This window comes from Homo sapiens, chromosome 3 (genome assembly GCF_000001405.40).
Source record: "Homo sapiens chromosome 3, GRCh38.p14 Primary Assembly".
NCBI lineage: Eukaryota > Metazoa > Chordata > Mammalia > Primates > Hominidae > Homo > Homo sapiens.
Window position 1 is genome coordinate 124,648,028 of NC_000003.12, and position 24,879 is coordinate 124,672,906.

At 44.3% G+C, this 24,879-nt stretch overlaps 1 protein-coding gene across 34 annotated transcripts in view; it reads left to right on the plus strand.

The window, feature by feature from the left end:
* Window positions 1-24,879, plus strand: part of KALRN (kalirin RhoGEF kinase) — a 692,957-nt gene that overhangs the window by 614,659 nt on the left and 53,419 nt on the right. For 33 of the 34 annotated variants that reach the window (XM_006713810.4, XM_017007429.2, XM_011513279.3 and 30 more), the window contains 11 exons: window positions 2,781-2,911; window positions 7,574-7,640; window positions 9,421-9,524; window positions 9,707-9,776; window positions 10,404-10,490; window positions 11,338-11,430; window positions 12,896-12,946; window positions 13,824-13,901; window positions 18,422-18,607; window positions 18,985-19,156; window positions 23,633-23,871. In XM_006713810.4, the coding sequence (XP_006713873.1) occupies window positions 2,781-2,911; window positions 7,574-7,640; window positions 9,421-9,524; window positions 9,707-9,776; window positions 10,404-10,490; window positions 11,338-11,430; window positions 12,896-12,946; window positions 13,824-13,901; window positions 18,422-18,607; window positions 18,985-19,156; window positions 23,633-23,871 (1,278 nt within the window). Of the gene's footprint in view, window positions 1-2,780; window positions 2,912-7,573; window positions 7,641-9,420; window positions 9,525-9,706; window positions 9,777-10,403; window positions 10,491-11,337; window positions 11,431-12,895; window positions 12,947-12,981; window positions 13,063-13,823; window positions 13,902-18,421; window positions 18,608-18,984; window positions 19,157-23,632; window positions 23,872-24,879 lie in introns of all 34 variants that reach the window. The other variant, NM_001322994.2, reaches the window with a different exon arrangement.

Sequence of the window (24,879 nt, forward strand, 5' to 3'; positions counted from 1 at the left end):
GGTGGGGCATAAGTCCTCACTGTGGCAGAAACCTGGCCACCACTGCCTGTTTTCTCCCAGGAGCAGAACAGAGAATTTTAGGTCAACCCTAGTTGCCCTTAGCTGGGGCTCAGTATCCCAACTCTAGCATAGGTAGCTAGGTCTTCAGAGGCCATCACTCTTGAATTATTACAAGCATTAAAATCAAACCCATTGTTTTAGGCAGACTATCTAGCATATAGCTTTAGCCAAATTCTTTCTTCCTCTTGTCCTTGTCTCTCACTGTTGCCATCCCAGAGAGTCCTCCCCTAGAGATAGCCTGGGCTACTTTGCTTATAGAACAGGTCAGGTAGGAGGAGATGGAAGTATTTCCCCATTTGACATAATGGACTCCTCAGATGTTCTTTGTTCTGTAGAAAGGTTGAGAGTGGACCACACAAAGCTGGATGCTCCATGGGAGTGCCCGTGGGCAGAGGTGTCTCCCTGGGAAGGGGTAGGAGCACAGAGGATACCACTGAGCAGCAATTCACTAGAGGAAAACATTCATTTCTTCTAAGGGCAAAGGGATGGAACTGTGAATGAACTTCAGCAGCATCTAATGGTCAAGCGAGCCTATAAACCAAGGCTTGTTTCCCAGGCGTTGCAGTCACCATGCTACCACTCAACAGGCTGCAGAACAAAGGCTGAAACAGGACAATGGGGAGAAGGAGAGAAGAGGAAGTAAAAGGCATGTAATCAGATCAATCACCAGCTGGGCCCATCTGCCCAGGAGCCTGTCTCTGGTGATGGCACCAGGAGACATGTCATTGGAATGCCTGCCTGTGTGCTTGGTTGTCAAGCCTCAGCACCAGACACTCTCATTTCCTTAATAACAGGTTACAGATCCTGTATCTATAAATTGAGCTAAACCCTTCTTGACCTTTCCATATTTTTAGCCTATACTGCTGCTCTGGATATAACAACTTCCATGGCTGATTACTTGTTCTGTGAATACTTTTATCTCAAGTTAAAAGAAATTCTCTCTTGAGTTTGAAGACCCTGTCCTCTTAGTTCCAGTTTCTAGTGTTGGTAACAAATTCATGTTTAGCCCTTGGCACATTTTGTCAGTTTGGGGGTGGGGGAATGGAAGGTTTGATATCTGCTTAGTGTTATGTTTTTCAGATTCAAATCTTCATATTCTCCATCTTTTCTTATAAAATGGACCATCAGGAACCTCATTAGTTTTTGATTTATTTCTCTGGACCTTTCTGTTCTACCTGTTTAGCCTATGTTAAAATAGAGCAACTGAGAGCATCATGACAATACTCCAAGTGCAGCTCACTGAAGGCCAAGCTGAAGCCTTTCATTCCTACCTTTTTGGACTGCATTTTTTTAAATCTTTGTGACTTTAACCTTAGGGCTAATGTTTTCAAAAACTACTAAATGAAACTGTTTCTGTTAGCTGCAGTAGCTGGTTTAGGCAGGCATCTTGTAAGAGCAGTTTAGGGCCAGACACGCTGTCTCACACCTGTAATCCCAGCATTTTGAGAGGCTGAGGTGGGAGTATCACTTGAGCCCAGGAGTTCAAGACCAGCCTGGGCAATGTAATGAGACCCAGTCTCTTAAACAAACAAACAAACAAACAAACAAAAAAGATTAGCTGGATATGGTGGTGCATGACTGTCCCAGTTATTTGGGAGGCTGAGGTGAGAGGATTGCTTGAGCCTAGGAGGTCAAGGCTGCAGTGAGCCATGATTGCACCACTGTACTCCAGACTGGGCAATAGAGTGAGACCCTGTCTCAAAATAGATAGATAGATAGATAGATAGATAGATAGATAGATAGATAGATATTATGGCTGGGTGCATTGGCTCATGCTTGTAACCCCAACACTTTGGGAGACTGAAGCGGGAAGATCACTTGAGCCCAGGAGTTCAAGACCAGCCTGGGCAACATAGTGAGACCCTGTCTCTAAAATAAAATAATAATAATAATAATAATAATAATAATAATAATAATAAAGAATAGCCTTAGATTAGTCTCTCATTATTTGTTTTACAGTTGCCCAACTTGACCTTACTCTCCAGCCTCACTGTGTATCCACACTACTTCTGCCAATTTGCATAATGAAATGCTAAATGTCACTGTGTAATCCTTCTTCCAGGACACTTGTAAAAGTGTTAAGATTGACTCCATTTTGAATATTTTTATCGTTAACAGTTCCATCCATGGGGACAGGGGAAAACCCCATCATCATAGGACATTTTTAACTTTTCAAAGGGGTTGTACAGCTATTATCTCGGCCTATTCCTTAGAAATCTGTAGAGAGGGAAGATTTAATTTGAAAACTGAGAAAAACTGAAGCATGGAACAATTTTAGCTATCTCACATAAATCATTCAGTGACTAGCAGGTCTGGGATTCAAATTTAGGTTCTTTTACCCTTAGTTCCCTCTGGAGTACCATATTCACCCTTTTCACTTGTTTTCTTTTGTAACTGCATATTTGGTATAGAATTGCGATCGTTAGCATTACCTCTGGAGCTCTTAACTAGAGATAGTCACTTTGACAATTTCATTATGTCTGGGAAATTGGCAGCACATAGATGCCAAGTACATCCTGGTTGCCTGAGAAGGTGGCAGCTCTGGGCTCCCTGCTGCAGGAGGATAAAGTCTCTGGTCTGCTAGTGCTTCACTGTGGTTTGGTGAGAACAGCCTTGGCTACTGATTTTCCATGTTGTCTGTGGCTAGGCTGGGAGGACACAGGGATTCCAAATGACTTTTCAAAGTACACTTCTCTAAGCCTGTTTTTCTCTCTTTTCAGAGTCTAGAAGGAAGCTCATACCGGGGGAGCTTGAAAGACCCTGCAGGCTGCCTGAATGAGGGGATGGCCCCACCCACACCTCCTAAAAACCCAGAAGAAGAACAGAAAGCCAAGGCCCTGAGAGGCAGGATGTAAGTGGCTTCCCCAGTTCCTCCCTGTGGTGCACATGTGAGTGCGGTGGACAATGGACAAAGGTTGGGGAAAATTCGAGAGGGGTTCCCCACGCTGTTTCCACTGACATCTTTCATTCTAAGACTCAGATCTGTACAGCATAGCACTGATAAACATTGAGCCACTTTGGCACTGACTTGATTGAAGTTTAGGCTAAAGTATATTCTGTGAGATAGCAGCTATTACTGACAAAGTGTGGTTGTAGGTCTGTTAGAAATTTAAAACATAGTGATAAAAGGAAAATGGCAAAGTTGAGGAAACTATGAGACTGTTACTGAGGGCCTATAGAATCAGAGAGTCTCTGACCGTGGCAGATAGTCTGATAGAGATCACCTAAGAAAACATTTCCCCAAATGTAGGAAAGTTATATATAGAGGAAGGAGCTGTTGTACCACCAAGCAGGTCCTGTCTCTACTCCTTCTCCAAAGGTTTTAATTTTGCATCTGTTTCTGGGATTAGTTCCAAGAGAACTTCTTCTCCACTTTGAATAGTTAGTGGTAAAATAAAATTCATAATGCAGAACAATCCCATGTTATGCAAGAGTTACCTATGTTGATATGAAGTCAATCTGTTATTTGAGTTGATCAAGAATATACCACATACCACTAGTGCAAAAGCAGAACTCCTCCAAAACTTTCATTTTCTTTTTCTTTTCTATCTTTTTTTTTTTTTTTTTTGAGACAGGGTCTTGCTTGGTCACCCAGACTAAAGTACAGTGGTATGATCATAGCTCACTGCAGCTTTGACCTCCTGGGCTCAAGGGATCCTCTCACCTCAGCCTCCCAAGTAGCTGGGACTACAGGTGTGCGCCACCATGCCTGGCTAATTATTTTATTTTTTGTAGAGATGGAGTCTTGCTTGGTTGCCCTGGCTGGTCTGGGACTCCTAGGCTCAAGTAATCCTCCTGTCTCAGCCTCCCAAAGTGTTGGGATTACAGGCAGGATCCACTGCACTTGGCCAACTTTTGTTTTCTTGTTTAGGGTTGTACTCTGTGTTGGAAGCAGAGCTACTGATGAGTCTTAGACATAGCTCAGCATGTGAGAGATTATAAGCAGTAGTGAGAATTGGGAAGGCAGGTGTGAAGGGTCCCTCCCTGTTGTTAATTAGCCTGCCTTTCTCTCTCAAATTCATCACTCCTTTAGCCTAGCCACAGACATGAAAACTAGCAAAAATAAGTGAGGCCAGGTCCTTCTGTTACCTAGAAATGTACAAAGTGTCTATTTATGAGTTTCTGTTTCCTAGGAAACAAAAGTGAGAACATCACAGTGAAGGCCTGGTTTGAAAGCAGGGCTATCACTTCATAGTGGAGATGAACAAGTAGCATGTAAATCTTGAAATTCTGTATTTACCCCCTCAGCTTTGTGAGTACTCAGGGGGAACCCCAAGAAGTTGGTAAATGGAATAGAGGTTGATAAATGCCATACCCAAAGGGAAATTTCCTAGCACTTGCACAAAGCTGAGTCTCCTTAGCTTCTCAGGTTGTTGTTACACAGGTGAGGCCAAGTTGGAGCTGATGTCTTAGTCCTTTGTCAAGTCAAAGCAAAGCTTAAGTCAGAAAGGTGACCTCTGAGGTGGCAGGTGACCCTGGGAAAAGCCAGTCACTACTCTTTTTTTTTGAGATGGAGTCTCTCTCTTTTGCCCAGGCCAGAGTGCAGTGGCACTATCTCGGCTCACTGCAAGCTCCGCCTCCCGGGTTCACACCATTCTTCTGCCTCAGCCTCCCAAAGTAGCTGGGACTACAGGCACCCGCCACCGCATCTGGCTAATTTTTTGTATTTTTAGTAGAGACGGGGTTTCACCGTGTTAGCCAGGATGGTCTCGATCTCCTGACCTCGTGATCCGCCAGCCTCAGCCTCCCAAAGTGCTGGGATTACAGGCGTGAGCCACCGCACCCAGCCGCCAGTCACTACTCTTAGCATGTAGCTTGAACCGGCCTTTGAGCAGTCATTTAAGCCATTGTCCAGATTCAACAGGCCACAAAAGTTTGCTGTCTCTTTTGCCCACTTTACGCATCTCTTCTCCCTCTTCTCATTCTTGCCAAAATCCACACCTCTTCACATCCTGAGCTATCTTGAAAATGCAGCTGTTAGAGTATCTCATACCTCTTACTATATCTCATCCTTATTCTCTCCTGCTGTACTTTATGGTCTTGATGAAAGGGTGTTGTATAGGTGTTTCACTGTAAACCATATGTGAGGCCAGAGGCTGAGGGGTGTAGCGAACCAAGACTCAATCCAGAAGATGGCAGTGGGGCGTCAAAGGGTTAAATGAGAGCTCTGTGGAGAAAAGATGAACACAAATAGTCATTTGTCCAGGAGAAGAAAAAAGTTGAGAATGGAGTTACTTGTCTTCAAGTTTTAGTCATTCAACAAATACTGGTCTAACACCAGTATGTACCATCAGTGGGATACATCAGTGAATAAGACAAATAATAACAACATAAGTCTTTGCTCTCATGGCAAGTTTAAATTCTAGTGGGAGAAATCAGACAATAAACAAAATAAATTATGTATTATGTTGGAAACAAGAAAAAGAAAAAAAAATAGAGCAGTGTAAGGGAGATCCAGAGAATAAATGAGGCCATGCTGCAATTTTAAATGGCCCTGGCATTTGCACAAAGACCGGGGGAGGTAAATTAGCCATGGAGAAAAAGTGTTCTCAAGAGAGAGAACAGCCAGTGCAATGAATCTAAGAGATTTTCTGTGGAAGACCAGCCATTCCCTATCCCTGTGAAAGGAGGTTAGAAGTGGTTCTAACCAGTAGCTGAAATAATTTTAGTTGGACCAAAGAATAACATTTGTTTGTAAATAACTTCTACTAATAAGAACTTATCATGAAAAACATGCCTTGTTGTCAGTTCATTTGGCAATTAATTGTGCACTGCCTTGCAATGCCTGCAATTTAAATCCTTGATGTCACTTTTCAGAATGTCTTTTAATACGTCATGGTCTCCTTCATTAACCCTTCAAGGGAAGAGATGACAGGTCCACTAGCAGCACCTAATACAGTTCCCTTCTCTAAAGGCTGAGAAGCCAAAGATAGCCCTCATCTGTCAGCAAATAGCTTAGGATAAAAATATCGCCTGGAGACAGAGAGCTGGACTTCATCTCCAGAGGGCCCTCCCAGCCCCATATTCCCACTCTAACTTTCCTGTGGGTTTTCTTTTGCCACTTTCTACCAGGCGGTAACTTGGGCCATGGTAAAGATATATTTAAATGCTTTCATTTGGCCTTGCCAGTTCCTTCCTGTGGCCTAAAACACATGATTGTCTGTGCTGGAGAGGGAGCTGTTGGAAGTGCTGGGTGCACTGATAAAGAAGCATGTGTTCCTCTGCTTCCTCCCCATTGCCCAGAGGCCCCAGGCTCCAGGAATGTGGTGGCTTCTGGGGCTATACGGAGCAAGAGTTTCAGATGAATTGCTTCCTGGGTTAAAAATGGTTACCACCCTTGTGCTGGGGTCCCACTTTGACATCTCAGAACTTTATCATTTCTGCTACTTGTGCCCAAAATGCAATTGTGTGGTCCCAGGCAAAACTCATTCCAATCAGATTGGAAGAGTTTGACTCCAGTAGGTTGCACAGCACCACCCTGCCCCTGTGCACAACTTTAGCATTTTATGTAAAGCTCTTTAGTGTCTGGACAAAAGACAGAAAGAGTGTTTGGGTTTGAGGCTTCAAGGACTCCCAAGAGCCAGTCAGAGTAGTTTACCAAGCAGTGGGCTGCTGGGAAAGAGCATGGTCTTTGGACTCTTGCACAACTGGGTTCAAATCCTGGCTCTGCTACTCACTTTGCAATCATGGTCAGGTTACCTAATCTTTCTGTCTCTGCATTTTCATTTATATAAAATAGGTTTTACAATACCTACCTTATTATAAGCATGGGAAAACCCAGATGAAGGGAGTGGCACATAGTAAATGGTAGAAAGAATTAACAAGAAAGAAACCAAGAGAGCAAATGTCCTTGTAATTGTTAAATCCTGCATCCTGGAGAAGGTAGTGCTGCATTAAATGTGTGATTTTGGAATGTCTGCAGTCCATCTTTCTGGCCTTGACTGGGGGTTTTCCAGGCCAGTTACCATGATACCTATCTGAATAATTGCAGCTTCCATATCTTAAAAACTTCACTTGATATCTATCCTTGTCTTGGAGGACTTACAGGTTGGTAATCAAATAAATGTCTTTCTCTTCTTGTTAAGTGAAGAATGGAGCTGAAATGAAGGAAGAAAAGTCTCATCTTAACCCCTGCCCAGCCTCAAAGCTTTCAGAACGCAGTTTTGCCAAAATGGTTGTCAATCTTTCTGCCCTCTGTCTATACAATCGTTCAGTTGTAGGTGAGGGAGAAACACATGAAGAATAGAAAGAAGAATGCTAGGTACTGAGCGTCATTTTTCGTGTGACTATTGTATGTCACCTGGGGAAGTCCTTTCTGGCCTTGGTGTCCTCAGCCCTTCAGTAGGGCCTCCTCTAGGGAAAGCATCCGTAAGCATCTTTCCCAGGAGATAAGTGTGGGTGTTTTAAGGGGTCTTGTTATAAAGGTGCCAAAGTAACTTTTCTGTGAACTTAAGTGAAGATTTTTGGCTTAACAATGAAGAGGAACACTCACTGTTCTTAATCTCCTGCTCAGGTTTGTCCTGAATGAGCTGGTACAGACAGAGAAAGACTATGTCAAGGATCTGGGCATTGTGGTGGAGGTAAGTAGAGGGTTCCAGGTGGGTCTGTGGTCACCCAACCAGGAGCACGTTGGACCCTACCTAGGCCAAGGTGTTTTAATCTGATGGTTACATGTACTTTACTGTCTGAGCACTTGCAGAAATGAAAATAAAAATGGTAATAAGTAGAATATGTAGGCAATATTTTTCTTTTCCCCTTGAAATAAGATATTTAGAGGGAAGTAGTGGCCTGAATGTTATAGCATTTGGGGGAGCCTCTTGGTTAGAGTGGAACTCATTCCACTTTGTTTTAGGTGACCAAGCTATTGTCTTAAGAGCTTTTCTTTGATGTTTAACTATGTGGACATATATTCTTCAGAGCTATGAGCCACATAGGCATAAAACAGTTCATTCTTAGTGGGATCTTAGGGCTTATACATTTCCATAGATTTCAAGGGTAAGTGTTACAGCTAGCAAAAAGACAGATAAAAGAAAAACCCACCAATGAGCAAGGTTGACAGGTCCACAGTTAAGAGTCGACTTGGTAGTAAATTAAACAAATCTAGCTCTGTAGGGATTCACTTAAGAGGGACTTAGACACTTGGATGAAAAAAAAAAAGCCTGAGAAAGTAAATGGGTAACTTGAATGGCTTAGAGCCCTATTGTTAATCATCTTGAAAGAACATGAAGTCTAAAAGTTCTCGGCCGGGTGCGGTGGCTCATGCCTGTAATCCCAGCACTTTGGGAGGCTGAGACGGGTGGATCACGAGGTCAGGAGATCGAGACCGTCCTGGCTAACACGGTGAAACCCCGTATCTACTAAAAATACAAAAAAATTAGCCGGGCGTGGTGGTGGGCGCCTGTAGTCCCAGCTACTCAGGAGGCCGAGGCAGGAGAATGGCGTGAACCTGGGAGGCGGAGCTTGCAGTGAGCTGAGATCGCGCCACCGCACTCCAGCCTGGGCGACAGAGCAAGACTCCATCTCAAAAAATAAAAATAAAAGTAAAAATAAAACAAAAAAATAAAAATTCTATGCCTAAAGCCTACATTGCCTGCTGGTTCCTTACATTTGGCCTGAGTTCCCATCCTGTGAAATCTGCTGACTTAGGGTTTTGTATTTGCTTATTCTGAATCTTGGATAAACAGATTAACCAGCCATATAGAAAACCTGAATTTTAACTTACGGAAAGTTATTCTTGTCTTTTTGTGGGGCTGGGGGGTGGAAGAGGTACAATAGCTTCCATATGCAGTCCAGCCCAGGAGTAGAGGACGAGGGAATCTGAAGACTGGGAGGCTGAAATGCAGGGAACTCAGACATCAGTGGTGCGATTATGGACAAGTCATCATCCAACACCCAGGTGCCTGGGTTTTCTTGTCCGTCAGATGGGGATAATGCTACCTGTCCAACCTCAAAACCTGATTTTAAAACAGAAATGAAATTCTCTATGATCACATTTTATAGACTATAAAGTATTAACATATTAAGACTTATTTCTAGGCCAGATGTATCTAGTTCTGAGCCTTTATAGACCTGATTAATTTGGATTGGGAGAAGGAAGAGGGACAGCTTATTGTTTTCTTCTGTGCTCTGCTTTCTTAAGGGGACTGGAGACAAAGAAGGGGATCCTGAAACTCATAAAAGTTTTCTCTATTGCTCTGCACCAGGGGTTAAAGACCTGGTTGAATAGTGAGAAACCACAGAAGCATTTGTCCGCAAACTCACGCAGAGAGTGTGGGCTTGCAGGGGTGCTGTGGTGTGTGGCATGGCCCAGAAAGCTTTCCTGTGAAAATATGCTACTAACCATTGCCTTTGCTGCTGCAGGGCTTCATGAAGAGAATAGAAGAAAAGGGTGTCCCTGAGGATATGCGAGGAAAGGACAAAATCGTGTTTGGAAATATTCATCAGATTTATGACTGGCATAAGGAGTAAGTGTTAATGCTGCCCCGAGGATCCAGTGTCCTGGGAATCCAGGACTTGAGTCCTCTTCCTGCATCTGACTCAAGGAGTAGGGCTTAGGGGAGAGTCTTCTGTAATTCATCTTATTATTGAGAAATAATACAGTTCTGAATAATGTGGCTTCCTTCTCTTATCCCCTTTCTCCTTTTAGTTTTTTCCTGGCGGAACTGGAAAAGTGTATCCAGGAGCAAGACAGATTGGCACAGCTCTTTATTAAGCACGTGAGTGTCTCCCATCACCTCCTCCCCAACTCCTTCACTAGGCTCATTTATATTCATTTTAAAATCCTGGCCAGGCACAGTGGCTCACACCTGTAATTCCAACACTTTAGGAGGCCAAGGTGGGAGGGTGGCTTGACCCCAGGAATTGAGACCAGCCTGGGCAACATAGTGAGGCCCCCATCTCTACGAAGAATTTAAAAATTAACCAAGGCTGGTGGCACATGCCTATAGTCCTAGCCACTTGGGGGGGCGGAGGCAGGAGGATCGCTTGAGCCTGGGAGGTCAAGACTGCAGTGAGCCATGATGGCCCCACCCTGCACTCCAGCCTGGGTGACAGAGCAAGACCCTGTCTCAGAAAAAAAAGTAAATAAAATTTCTTCTCTTCTGCTCTTCCTTGAGTGACCTTCTTTCTCAGCCCTCTCTAAGTTTTTTTGTTTTTTTGACCACCTTGGCGATTTGGAAAGTGGCTCTTGCCCACCACATTTATATCCTTGATATTCAGCTGCCTTGGTGCGTCCCCAAGTGCGCCTTTGTCCTTTGTCCACGTGGAGGCCAGCACGGCACTCTGAGATTGAACAAAAGACACAAGATGCCTGACTGTCCACATGTCTCTCTCTGCTCTTTCAGGAGCGGAAGCTGCACATCTACGTGTGGTATTGTCAGAATAAGCCGCGCTCAGAGTACATCGTTGCTGAGTATGACGCCTACTTTGAGGTAAGCTGTGCAGGCTTTGCTGAACTGGGGTGGGAGGAAAACTCAGGCCAAAACAGCCACTTTCAGAAATACCAGACGTCATCCATCCATATGTGACCCCCACACAGCACCGTTGACCCATTCATGGCAGGAATAGCTGCCTCAACAGAGAAAGCAGCTTCTTAGCTAAATTCTCATGAGCACCTTCACTTGAGAGGAGCTGAGGTGGCCCAGTCTGGGTTCTGATTTGAGAATCCCCCATTTGCAGAATAAGCCTGAACACAGAGATGGTTTGAGAAGCTCCAGTTCTTCTTAAGTGACCCTGGAGCAGACTGTACCCACCAGTCCCCCAGGGACCACTTACTAAGGAGTCTTCTGTTGGTTGAAGGGTTTGCAGCCACTTCCTAGTCTGCTTGGTCTAGCCCAGAAGGATTTATTTTGCTGGGAGAAAGGCAGCATCATCACTTAGAAAAAGCACTCAGCTGAGTGTTTGGAGATCTAAGTTTAGGGCCTGGCTCCATAGGCTTGTGTGTCCTAGAAGAAGCCCCTTTTCCCTGCCTTTGCCCTGAAGTGGTGGAGAGAATAAGGCCCCTCCAGCTTTTCTCCCAGGACTGGGATGAAGACCAAGGTGTGGAAGTACTCACTGTAAAAGCATGGGAGGAAGGCAGGAAGCCAGTGGTGATGTGTGTTATGTGTTGTTCATAACAAGTGAACAGTCCTCTAGGCAATTTTACCTCTCACATTACTTAAAGATTCTTCAACTTCATTGGAAAACATGCAGACCTGTCTTCCATGCCTTTGAACCCTTATTCAAAGCACCCCAGTTCTTCAGTTCCTTTTTCTTCTAATATTGCTGCCTGTGTTTCAGGAGGTAAAACAGGAGATAAATCAGAGGCTGACACTGAGTGACTTCCTCATCAAGCCCATTCAGAGAATAACAAAATACCAGTTGCTCCTCAAGGTAAGAAGCTGGGAGCCTGGGTGAGGGCTGGAGAAGGATCCATCAGGCTCAGAGCAGGTTCTGAGCTAGGGGTAGAGCTAGCGGTTCTGTCTCCACCACACTGTCCCAAAGGACTGTGAACTGTGGGAGGGGTGGTAGGGACGTGGGAACTTTTATCTGACTGCTGGTTACTCTGTCAGCTTTGCTCCCAAATAAACTGCATGGCTGTTCTTCCTACCCTTAAGGTGGGTTGTTACTTGATTTTATTTTTTCAATTCACATTCTTACTTTGTCTCAATCATTGACTTGATACCTTTAAAAAATAAGAAGAATATGATATCAGAGTGAACTACAAGGGAGAAAGAAAGGGAAAGGCAAGGCTTTAGAAATATTAGATTAGTAATACCTAAAATTTGATTTTATATATATATAAAATCAATATATTATATAAAATCAATATATTTTATATATAATCAATATATATTATAAAGTATAATATGTATGTATATATTTGAGGCAGGGTCTCACTCTGTCACCCAGGCTGCAGTGCAGTGACACAGTCATAGCTCACTGCAGCCTCAAATGCCTGAGCTCAAGCGATTCTCCCTTCTCAGCCTCCCAAGTAGCTAGGACAACAGATGCATGTCATCATGCCTGGCTAATTTTTTATTTTTTTTGTAGAGACACGGTCTCACTATGTTGCTCAGGCTGGTCTCAAACTCCTGGCCTCAAGCAGCCCTCCCACCTTGGCCTCCCAAAGTGTTGAGATTACAGACATGAGCCACTGTGCCCGGCCTAATTATATTTTAAACAATGGCTTAACTTGATTCATCTTATGGAACTAGGAGGCTAAATAGAAAAGAGAGACTTAACTTTCCTTTCTCTCCTTTCTTGTCATAATCCCCCTTTCCTTTGTCTTCCCTCCCTCTCACTCTTCCTTCTCCCATAGCTTTGAAATTTTGAGGCTGGGTGCAGTCACTCACGCCTGTAATCCCAGAACTTTGGGAGACTGAGGCAGGTGGATCACCTGAGGTCAGGAGTTTGAGACCAACCTGGCCAACATGGTGAAACACATCTCTACCGAAAATACAAAAATTAGCTGAGTGTGGTGGCACTTGCCTGTAATCCCAACTACTCAGGAGGCTGAGGCAGGAGAATCGCTTGAACCTAGGAGGCACAGGTTACGGTGAGCCAAAATTGCACCACTGCACTCCAGCCTGGGCAACAGAGTGAGACTATGTCTCAAAAAAAAAAAAAAAAAGGAAAGAAAGAAAGAAAAGAAATTTGAATATTCTGGGAGTTCTCTCTATGTTATTACATCTTACATGACTCATAATTTCATTTCTCAGCTACTCTACACCATTGCCACTTCTGCTGGGAAGGAAAGTCTCCAGGGTGTTATTGTATTTTTATGATAAGTTTTTTCCCAGCTATTTTACTAATTTTACCCCTTCCCACACTCTTGCCTGCTTCCCCTACTTGTTAGGACTTCCTGAGATACAGTGAGAAGGCTGGTTTGGAGTGTTCAGATATTGAGGTGAGTTTTCTGCTTGTAATGCTTGCTGTTCTTAGGGACCATATTGGATATCTTTCTCTAGAGGGGAAAAGATTGTCTCAGGAGGACCGTGGATCCAGGTGGACCCCTCTCAGACAGTAAGAGGCTCTTGTAAACAGCTTTGTACCTGCTTGAGGAATGGCAAGTGTTAACACAGTGTTTCCTAGAACTAAAGAAATCTGTCCTGGGGTGCACTAGAGCTTAGCCCCACTGGTGTTCTTTTGGCTCCTGGTGACACATAGTGGGAAAGGGTAACCCCTTAATATCCTTCAGAGATTAGATGTAAGTTGCACAAAAGCCTCAGTATGCAATTTTATTCGTGAAGGCAAGTATTATTTGAGTCAAACATATAAAGTATTCCATTTTCACCTCCCTGTCCAAACCCTGCAGACTACTTCCAAGTGAAGTCCTTTGAGACAATGTCACTATGGGATTATTTTAAGCCAGGGAGGTTACAGACCATTCTGACAGATTATTTTAGTTGAAAACCTCTAGTGTTTCACAAGCCAGGCTAAGCTGTTGCCTGGGCAGCCAGGAAGCAACAGAGAGAAGAAAGAAAATCTGAGAAGGCAAGGGAATTGATGAACAAAAACAGGAAGGTAGGGAAAGGAGGGGCTGAGTAATATTCCCCCAACATATGCTCAGTGACTGACATGGAGCCCCTGTGCTGAGGACCAACACCCTCCCTCTAGAACAGAAAGCCCCACACTCTCTGAGAGTGGACAGCCAGAACCAGCATCCCTTCCTAGAATAAAGGAGCCACCAGAGATGAAGTCCCTGTTTTCCAGCACTGAATTACCAAGAGCTTCCTGCCTGAGTGCTGTTCCCCCTCCTGAGTAACAGTTGTTCTTTCCCACAGAAAGCAGTGGAGTTAATGTGCCTTGTTCCCAAACGCTGCAATGACATGATGAATCTAGGACGTCTGCAGGGCTTTGAGGTGAGTCTTTAAGAATGCGTCTAAGCCCACTCTCTCCAGGACAATAGGAGTCCAGACTGTTGCGGCTTCCTCCCCCTGAAGCCTTGTGTCCTGCCTGTGCCTCCTTCACTCACCACTATGCCTTCCTACCCGGGCCCCTCTGGTTCACAGTCCTGGAAGATGCATCTCTTTAGGAAGTCCAGCAGTAGGGAGGTCATAAGAAGTTACAGAGCATTTAGCCAAACCAAAGTCAGAATTCCAAGGAGATTGGAAAGACCCAGAATTCTTTTTTTTTTTTTTTTTTTTTTTTTTGAGACAGGTTCTTGCCCTGTCACCCAGGCTGGAGTGCAGAGTGGTGCAATCCTGGCTTACTGCAGCCTCAGCCTCCTGGGCTCAAGCAGCCCTCCCACCTCAGCCTCCTGAGAAGCTGGACTCCAGTCACACACCACCATACCTGGCTTATTTTTAAATATTTTTTATATTATAAAGATGGGGTTTTGCCATGTTGCCAGGCTAGGAAAGACCCAGAGTTCTTTATGAGTGTTTAGACCTGATAGTGACCTCTTCCTTTCCCTTCTTGATTGATAAAGCAGGGACTGTGAGTGACAGCAGGGCTATGTGATAGAAGTGGAATTAGGCAGGAGAATGGAACACCTGTTTTTTGAGAAGGTGGTTCTGGCTTTTCAGTTAAATGAATAGTTAAAACTCTAAAACATTACAGTACAAAGTTCTGTTATTTGAAGAGGGGAATCAAGTCTGCAGGGAAATGGCTGTGTCCCAAAGATTTTGGTTTAAGTGAACATACAAGTTTACTAGGGCTGCCAAAACAAAGTACCATAAATTGGGCAGCTTAAACAACAGAGATTTATTGTCTCACATTTCTAGAGGCTAGAGGTCTGAAATCAAGGTACTGTCAGGTACCTCCTGAGAGCTGTGAGGGAGGGGTCTGCCCCAGGCCTTTCTCTTTGGCTTGTAGATGGCTGTCTTTATGTTCACATGGCATTCTCCCTGTATCTTCACATTCCCTTCCCTCTGTGTTATCTCTGTGGCCAAGTTTCCTTTTTTTTTTAAACAGAGTTTTGCTCTTGTTGCCCAGGCTGGAGTGCAGTGGCAACAAAACCTCCTCCTCCTGGGTTCAAGCGATTCTCCTGCCTCAGTCTCCTGAGTAGCTGGGATTACAGGCATGTGCCACCACACCTGGCTAATTTTTTGTATTTTTAGTAGAGACGGGGTTTCTCCATGTTGGTCAGGCTAGTCTCGAACTCCCGACCTCAGGTGATCCGCCCGCCTCGGCCTCCCAAAGTGCTGGGATTATAGGCGTGAGCCACCACACTGGGCCGTTTCCTTTTTTTAAATAAGGACATCAGTCATATTCTATTAGGGCTTACTGGCATGACCACTTGACTTTAACTTGATTGCCTCTGTAAAGACCCCATTTCCCAATAAGGTCACATGCTGACATTCTGGGATTTTAGGGGCTAGGACTTCAACATAGGAATTGATGGGGGCATGGAAGGAGAGAAAACACAATTCAGCCCATAACAGTGAACCTTTGAAGAGGAAATTGACTTTCTAATTTAAACTTAATAACTGACTGTTATTAACGTATATCCAAACCTAATAAATTAACCACACACAATATGTTTTTAAGATTAATATGATAAAATTGGAACTGACACAATTATTGATTGGTACCTAGTAGTTGTTGATCCCCTTAGAGAAAGATGTGGATCTTTTATTTCCCAGCAGTCTGAAACCTAAGCTTTCATTATTCCTTTTTGGGGCAAAGGGATTCCTAGAATTTGGGATAATTCAGAAATAAATGGCTTGTTTTTTGTTTTTTGTTTTTTTTCTGGCTAAACTAGAATGAAATAGATACAAGACAGAGATATAGTTGACTCATACTCATACCACTGTATGAATAATTTACGGGATAGTATATTTAAGTTAGCTTTCATGCATTGGATTCATGACATTCTTGAGCCAAATTCTCTTCTCCTCCTTGCCCTTTCAGCCCATCCCATGTGTCCCTGTCTGGTTTTCATGCTTTGCTGTGACAGGAACTATGTGGATGGTTTTCTTTGCTGTGCATTTTTCATAGGCTCTTGGTCTTCCAAAGCAGGCTGGAGACATTAGTGTAAGCAGGGTTACTCGGCAGACACACACTGAGTTCTTAACCATTTTTCTTCCGTCATACTGGGTGGAGTTTTATACATTTTCCCTTGGCGTTACATCAGGTCTGAGGCTATACTGGACAAACCAAGAGATCCCTTTTGCTCTTCAACCTTGAAGACCCCATGTTTTCTGAACAGGAGTCTAACTGTGCTTCTCTGGGTCTCTGGAGGAAGTGACCACTCAGGAGGAGTGGTGTCTGATTGTGCTGTCTATCCCAAGTTAAACTTCACAGGAGCTGTGTTGTACATGTGAGTGTGTGTGTGTGTGTGTGTGTGTGTGTGTGTGTGTGCGCGCGCGCGCATATAAGGGCACCCACAAGCACAGAATCAAGCTTTTTTTTTTTTTTGAGATGGAGTCTTGCTCTGTCGCCCAGGCTGGAGTACAGTGGCATGATCTCAGCTCACTGCAACCTCCGCCTCCTGGGTTCAGGCGATTCTCCTGCCTCAGCCTCCCAAGTAGCTGGGATTACAGGCAGGCGCCACCACGCCTGGCTAATTTTTGTATTTTTAATATAGATGGGGTTTTACCATGCTGGCCAGGCTGGTCTCGATCTCCTGACCTGGTGATCCGCCGGCCTTGGCCTCCCAAAGTGCTAGGATTACAGGCGTGAGCCACTGCACCCAGCCCAGAATCAAGCTTTTAAGTTAAGCACTGCTGTCTCTTGTTTTTGTCAAGCCACCAGAACCTGCTTTTTGCATTCCTTCAGCTAACTGGGAAGAACAGTGAGCATGTGTCTATTCCCTCAGCCCATGGCTTTGGGCTTGAGAGAAGTTAGAGCCTCCTCTTTTAAATTCCTCCCCACTTTCAGATCCTCTGGCTTTCCCTTTGGTGCTGGCCGAGCTATAACCCATGATAGGTTCTTGTGTAATATTAATAGAGCTTTCCTGGCTAGCTGGTCACTGGCTTAATATTAACTTTAGACCACAGTAGAGATAAGCCTGTTTGGCTGCTGACATTGGCAGTAAGGAGCCATGATCCAGGCAGAGGGCAGGCACTTCTCAGGAACACAAAAGAAAAATGACCCCTCTGCTGGGTAGTGTTTGGAATAAGGCATCACATGAAGGGAATGGCCACATTTGTGCCAAAGGGTAGAGTTGCCGCCTGAGAAAGAGCACCTGCATTTCAGAGGAGGCCCTCTGATTGCTCTCTCTGATGTCAGGGTCTTCTTGTTGCAAAGCAATAGAAGTGCAAGGTGCTCTGACAGAGTCTGGGAAGACTTTCTGGGTTGGGCCATATTCCCTTTGAAGCTGTGAAGATGTCTCTGAAAATCTCATTAGAAACTGGCAAACCAAATAGGTTCTACCTCCTCAGCTAGGTGTCAGGTGGCCTAGTAGCTGGAATCATTTTTATTTTTTTATTTTATTAGTTTTTTAAAATTTATTCATGTATTTATTTATTTAGATACAGAATCTCACTCTGTTGCCCAGGTTGGAGTGCAGTGGTGCAGTTTTGGCTCACCACAACCTCTGCCTCCCAGGTTCAAGTGATCCTCGTGCCTCAGCCTCCTAAGTAGCTGGGACTACAGGCACACGCCACCACCCCTGGCTAATTTTTATATTTTTAGTAGAGATGAGGTTTCGCCATGTTGGGCAGGCTGGTCTTGAACTCCTGACCTCAGGTAATCCGCCTGGCTTGGCCTCCCAAAGTTCTGGGATTACAGGCATGAGCACCACACCCACCCTGGAGTCATTTTTAGAAGAATCACAGAACCCAGAAAAGTATCTACCAGCTTATAAAATATGGAGACCTATCTATAGTACCCCCAACTTTACCTGTTGGCCTATAACTAGAAACTAAGATTTCAGAATTTCTCCATCCTAAAATAATTGAAGAAGAGAGGGGAGTGACTTATCAGAGTATCTGTGGTCCTGCCTTCATCACTTCCCTTGTCTACAGGTGAGTTCAAGGTTGGTGGCCATGAGAATGCCCTTGGTCCTTGGCCCATACTGCAAAGGAACCAGGCAGGCACCGTTCTCAGAGCTCTGAGGATGGAAAGGCCACTTGCAGCTCCAAGTGTCACCTACTTTCTATTGTCCTTTCAATAAAAAACAAGAAGGGCCAGGATTATGGCTTTTCTGCTAATGATATTACCTTCCTGCCTTCTGGCATTTGCCTGGAGCTGTTTCTCAGTGGTTCCGCAGCTTGCTTTCCCTTTCCCTCCAGGGCCCTTGTGTGAACAGGAAAGTGGCCAAGGTCGGCCCCTGGATGAGTGGGTGGGTCCTAATTCAGTCTCTTCCTAGAGCCCTGAGGCTTTTGTTGTCAAATCTGTTGCCCGTATCCCCAGATGGGGAGGTTCTGTGGACCCAGAGGGCAGTGGCTCGCTCCCCATTTTTCATTCACTTCACCCCAGCCCGTCTTTCCTTCAGGGCACTCTGACTGCTCAGGGGAAGCTGCTGCAGCAGGACACATTCTATGTGATCGAGCTGGATGCAGGCATGCAGTCCCGGACCAAAGAGAGGCGCGTGTTCCTCTTCGAGCAGATTGTCATCTTCAGTGAACTGCTCAGGAAGGGATCCCTCACCCCTGGCTACATGTTCAAAAGGAGCATCAAGGTGAGGATCCCAATGGTGATGAGAAGAGGCAAGGAAGAGCCCAGTTCTTGGGAGCTGCTTCCCTAAGACGAGGCCCTGGAGTTGTGACATCCAGAACCGTGAAGATCTTTCAGCCGAATAACATTCGGTCATGGAGGCTGCACGACAGTGATTATCTGTGAGCTGAAGTGACAGGCTGAGCCAGTCTCTGGCATGATCCTGCAGGTTCCCTGGGATCGTGTCACTCACCCAGAGACAAAAACCTAAGTACTGTCCTGCTAGATCCAGGGCAAAATTTGGAAGCTTGTCCTGAAATAGAAACTTTGAGGAAGAGTAATATGTTGCTGATTTTTAAAAAATCTTTTAAATGTAAAAAGGATCAACTCGTTTTCTTCCAGATGAATTACTTGGTCCTGGAGGAGAATGTGGACAATGATCCCTGCAAGTTTGCACTCATGAACAGAGAGACTTCTGAGAGGGTTGTTCTGCAAGCCGCCAACGCTGACATCCAGCAGGCCTGGGTGCAGGACATCAATCAAGTCTTAGAAACACAGCGAGACTTTTTGAATGGTGGGTGCTGGGCTTGGTTCCTTGCAGGGCTGTGTCAGGGGACTCCACGACCTCTGAGCTTCCTTGGGTCTAGGTTCATGTTGAGTTATGAACCCAGATCACATTTTATAGGTACTCCAACTTTGTAGTTTTCAGAAACACTTTAGAATTTTTCTGAAGCTGAATACACAAGCACAACAGATAGGGTATGAAAAAGAAGCTCCATCTTTCTGATAGAAGAGATTTCACTTATAGGACACAGGATATATGTCTTGTGGCCATCACTACCACCTGGTACTAATTTGGGCAAAAGTCTGAGATAGGCACATCCTCTGTGTCTAAGGAACCAGGACCGGCTAGAAATGATATGTGTTTTTCCACTTTTCACAGCTTCTGTAGTGTTAACTAGAGATAAATGAGAGTTTGACCAATCAGTTCAAATCCCTCCTCTGCTCCCAACAGTGTGAGAGCCTACATAAGCCACATTACTAGCCAACCTTACCCCTTTTAAATGAGAGATGATTGCTAACTTTAAATTTCTGTAATACCCTGAAACTTCCTAGAAGAAAATTTGTGGTTACACAGAGGGTGTAGCTCTTTGTGGCCCTTGCAGGAGCTCCCTCATGGGTGGTGTGAACTGGAGTGAAGTAGAGTTGCCACTTTGTATATATTTCTTTATTTTTTCCCCTGCTGGGGTTTTCTTCACACTGAGCTTGGCATGGGAAAGGGGTATGCGATTTTAAGCTAGTGGCTGATCTCTGCTGACTTGGTTAGCTCAGAAGTCTAACCAAGCAGAAATAGAGCTTGAAGTTGAATGCAAAATGTAACTAGTAATGAAGTAAACCTGAAGACTCAGAAAACACATATGCCTGTATATCGAGACACACACACACACACACACACACACACACACACACACACACACACACACAACCACCTTTGGGTATACCACCTCTTCCTGCCTGTCCTGAGATCCGTCCTACATGGCCATACGTGCTCACAGGAGCGCACACACAGGTACATGCATGTACACACGTACAGGCCCACCCTCGGGTGTGTCACCTTTTCATGCCAGTACTAGGATCTGGACTCTTTCAAATGATCCAAATACAGCATTTTCTGGATGTCTAGAATGGAACTGAATGCTGAAGGGAAAGATAAAAGGTGCCATACGAGTTGAGGACCTTGAGGAGTCATGACATTTCTCTGGGCCTTGTGGCTGGTTTTGTGAAAAAGGGAGTTCAGGTAGATCTACTTTGCCCATGCTGGCATGCTCTGTGATGGGCCAGTCTTCCTGGAAGCAGGACACCTGGCATCCTCCCTACAATATCAGTTTCCCTGTATTATAAGGGATTTAGCACAGTGTTTTAAAGACAAATAGAAGGAGATCATGTAACAGGATGCCACGACTTTTTAAGATAGAACATGAGACTTCAAAGCAATTTTGCACTTACAGAAAGTATTTTTGGGCCAGGCTCCTGGCCCTCAACTGTAAAAAAAATTTGGTGAAAAACAACTAGACTAAGTGATCTCTAGGATTCTTTTCACTCTAAAATGTCTAAAATTAAACACCAGCCCAGCCCTGAGGGATGGTAATGAAAGTTTTATATGGCTTATGATTTCTGAATATAATATACAACTTCAAATGAACACTTTTGTTGATAAAATAATTTTATGCAAAAATGTGTTCATATATAAAAATATCTGTTTAAATTGCATTCTATTAGGAGTTTCTGATAGATTCTAAGCTGAAATTAGGAATTTTAAAATTCATCAATTTGGGACAAAAGAAAAATAAGGTGCAACAGTAAGTTGAAACAAGAAGTTATTGACATAACAATAATGGCTCCTGTGTATTGAATCCTTGCTCTGTGCCAGGCACTATGCTAAGCATTTTACATGGTTTTTCACATTTAATCCTCACGCCAACATGGAGAGGTAAGTACTATTGTCCTACTTTTTTCAAGTGAGGAAAAGGAGACTCAGAACTTGTCCAAGGTCACAGAAGCAGTAAGTGATAGAAACAGGACTTGAATCCACAGCTATAGGACTTCAAATTAAGGTTGTGAACCACAAAACTGCAGTATAGGTGCTAGTGTTAGGGCACTCATTTATTTAATTATGATCTCCCTAGCAACCAAAGTGAAGAAAGAAACAGGATCAGACATAAGACACTGTATCGATCAGTCAAAAACAAACCCTGTAGGGACGCACAGTTTTCTTGATTCTGAGAATTAAGTTATGCAAATGGAGGCTGGTGAAAGAATACAGGCTGTCCATTTAGCTTATTTAAGAAGGCATTCTATTTTCAAATGTTTTAGCACAATTATTGTAAATAACCAGGTAATATCACAATTCCATGTGATGGGAATTGATTCATAAAATCAGTTTGATAAGGCCTACTTTATAACTCTGCTATGTACTTAGAACTTGGAACTGTATTTATTTAGGCATAGTCAATGATTCAGACCTTTACTTCGTTCCAAGAGACCTTTCTCCTAATGAATCATGGAGATACAGTCAGCCCTTGGTATCCACAGGGAATTGGTTCCAAGACCTCCCGAGGATACCAGAGTCTGTGGATGCTCAAGTCCCTTACATAAAATGGCATAGTGTTTGCATATGACCTGTGTACATCATCCTGTACTTTAAATCATCTCTAGATTGTTTATAATACCCGATATAATGTACATGCTATGTAAATGATTGTTATACTATATTGTTTATGGAATGACAAGAAAAAAAACTCTGTACATGTTCAGTACAGACCACAACCATCCTTTTTTCCCCCATATATTTTCTTTTTTTTTTTTTTTTCTTTTTTTGAGACAGAGTCTCGCTCTGTCGCCCAGGCTGGAGTGCAGTGGCGCAATCTCAGTTCACTGCAAATCTCCACCTCCTGAGTTCAAGCGATTCTCATGCTTCAGCCTCCTGAGAAGCTGGGATTACAGGTGTATGCCACCAATACAAAAATACAGAAATGCTAATTTTTGTATTTTTAGTAGAGACAAGGTTTTGCCATGTTGGCCATGGCTGGTCCTGAACTCCTGGCCTCAAGTGATCCACCCGCCTTGGCCTCCCAAAGTGCTGGGATTACAGGCATGCACCACTGCACCTGGCCCTTCCCATATATTTTCAATCCACAGTTGGTTGAATCCATGGTTGTGGAGCTCACAGATACAGTGGGCTGACTGTATTACTGAACTAGGTTATCATCTCCTAAATACTTAATGCCACAAAACACTCCTCAGTGAGAGAGGCAGTGCTCTGGTGGGCCTGTTATTACTTTGACACATACAAGAGACAAGGATGTGATGACGGACCAGGGCCAGGCTTCTACTTACAGAGATGTGTGCAGGCATCTCAGAGCCAATCTTTCCTTCTGAGACCTCAAGTAGAAAGGAAGTGTGACCCTATGTTGAGTCCTGTTGAGGTATGTACCTATCACAGTAGAAATATCCTTGTAATTGAGAAGTTCTCTGGGCCCCAGCTGTTAACCCACTTAAATAGCTGTTACAGTGCAAACTGATAAAAATGACATAATCGGCCAACCTTTGAAGTCATTCTTAAAGAATTGGACCTGTATGACATTTGCCTGGCTCTCCCTCTTTAGTTCTCAGACCTTGCAACCTTGTTACCTTAAACTCAATAAAACAAAGCTCCAGTCTTCTCCTTCACATCAGCTTATTCTCCTGTCTTCTGAGTTCCACTGACTGCCATCCTCCGAGTCTCCAAACCTGAGCCATCCTCGATTCTTGCATTGCTTTTCCCACCTAGGCTGTCACAGTCTCATCTCTCCCGACCTCACCACGCCCACATCCATTCCACATCCCACTGGTCCCGCTCTCCTAGACCTTCTACCTCTCGCTTTTACCATTCTGTGGCTTCTGAATTAGACAAGAAGCCTTCTGTCTCATCCTCTCCAGTCCCTCCTCCTAACCACTACAAGGTCAGTGTTCCTCAAATGTCGCTCTCTGATGATAGAATCTCAATTTAAAGCTTTAAAGTTCATTCCATCCAATTACTTTTCATGACCTTCAGAATTCAGTCCAGACTCATTGGACTCACTTTCTAGACTTTTCATACCATGGCACTTCCCACCTCACAGACCCTTCTGGTTTCCTCTTCCTCCTAGACACCCTTGACTACTTCCTGTTCCCCTCGCCAACACGTCACACTTGCTTCCTTCCTGCAGCCTAAGTGCCAGAGTCTGGCCACAGCTCTCTTCCGAAGCTCTTTGTTATTACCACCACACACATATTACAGAGCCTTCTCTCTCTTTGCACAACCCTTGGCACCTCACATATGGCACCGTTTTGTTTTTTGTATTTTCATTATTTAGGTAGATGTCTTAGTTCTCCCATTGCCTTAAAAACAAGGGTAGTGTTTTTCTCACTTATCCACACGATGCCTAACACAAAGCCTTGGACCTAAGAGGCCTCCAAATCCTTGTGGGATTCCCAAAGCTTAGAGTAACCACCTGCTCTTATCCCACAGCACTGCAATCGCCCATTGAGTATCAACGGAAAGAAAGGAGCACAGCTGTGATGAGGTCTCAACCTGCCAGGCTTCCCCAAGCCAGCCCCAGGCCCTACTCCTCTGTTCCTGCGGGCTCAGAGAAGCCCCCAAAGGGCTCCAGCTATAACCCACCTCTGCCTCCCCTGAAGATATCTACCTCCAATGGCAGTCCAGGGTTTGAATACCACCAGCCTGGGGACAAGTTCGAAGCCAGCAAGGTAAGTGACAACTCATTACTCCCACCCTTGTCACTACGATGGCATAGCCTCAGGGGTTACTTTAGGAAGAGAAGGAGTCTCGGTCTGTCATCCAGGCTGGAGTGCAATGGCACCATCTCAGCTCACTGCAACCTCCGCCTCCCAGGTTCAAGCGAATTCTCCTGTCTCAGCCTCCCGAGTAGCTGGGACTACAGGCGCCCTACCATACCCAGCTAATTTTTGTATTTTTAGTACAGATGGGGTTTCACCATGTTGGCCAGGCTGGTCTCAAATTCCTGGCCTCAGGCGATATGGCCACTTCAGCCTCCCACAGTGCTGGGATTACAGGTGTGAGCCACTGCACCCGGCCAGGAAGTAGCATCTTTTAATGCTTGCTGATTATTTTAGCAGGAACAGCACACTAAGTACAGTCTAGTCTCAATTATGTTTTCCTTTCCCTATAAACTGAGTGAGTTATACCAGTTCCCTGTGGCATAAATCATCATAAAAATGGATGATTTTTGCTAAATAGAGTAGTTTCAGTGTGGATCATCGTCATCTAAAAGTCACAGCTGTAGTGTTTGACACCTTAAAAAGAGTTCACCCTTTCTAATGATGATCTGCCTCGAGCACCTACTGAAAGAAGTTCCCAGTTCTTCACCATCTATTGGCTGATGTGGAAGGGAAGTCGATCATCAGTGTGTGAATGGGAGAAGTCTGACTTGGATTGAATGTTTGTCGTCGATAATCCACAATTCAAACATCACCATAAGGAGAGTCAAAGACTCAACCATAGACTTAGTCTACACAGCTATTTTGCCCCTACAAGGTAGGTAGAACAGGAGAGAAATGGGAAAAGTGCTAGATTAGGAATCAGGCAAACCTGGTTTCTATTCCCAGTTCTGCAACTCACTTGCTTTAGAACCTTAGCCGAGTTAGTTAACCTCATTAGGCCTCAGTTTTCTCTAGAACTCAGTGGCTCTATGAATAGGAACACTTACATTTTTTATCTACATGTTCCAGTTTTAT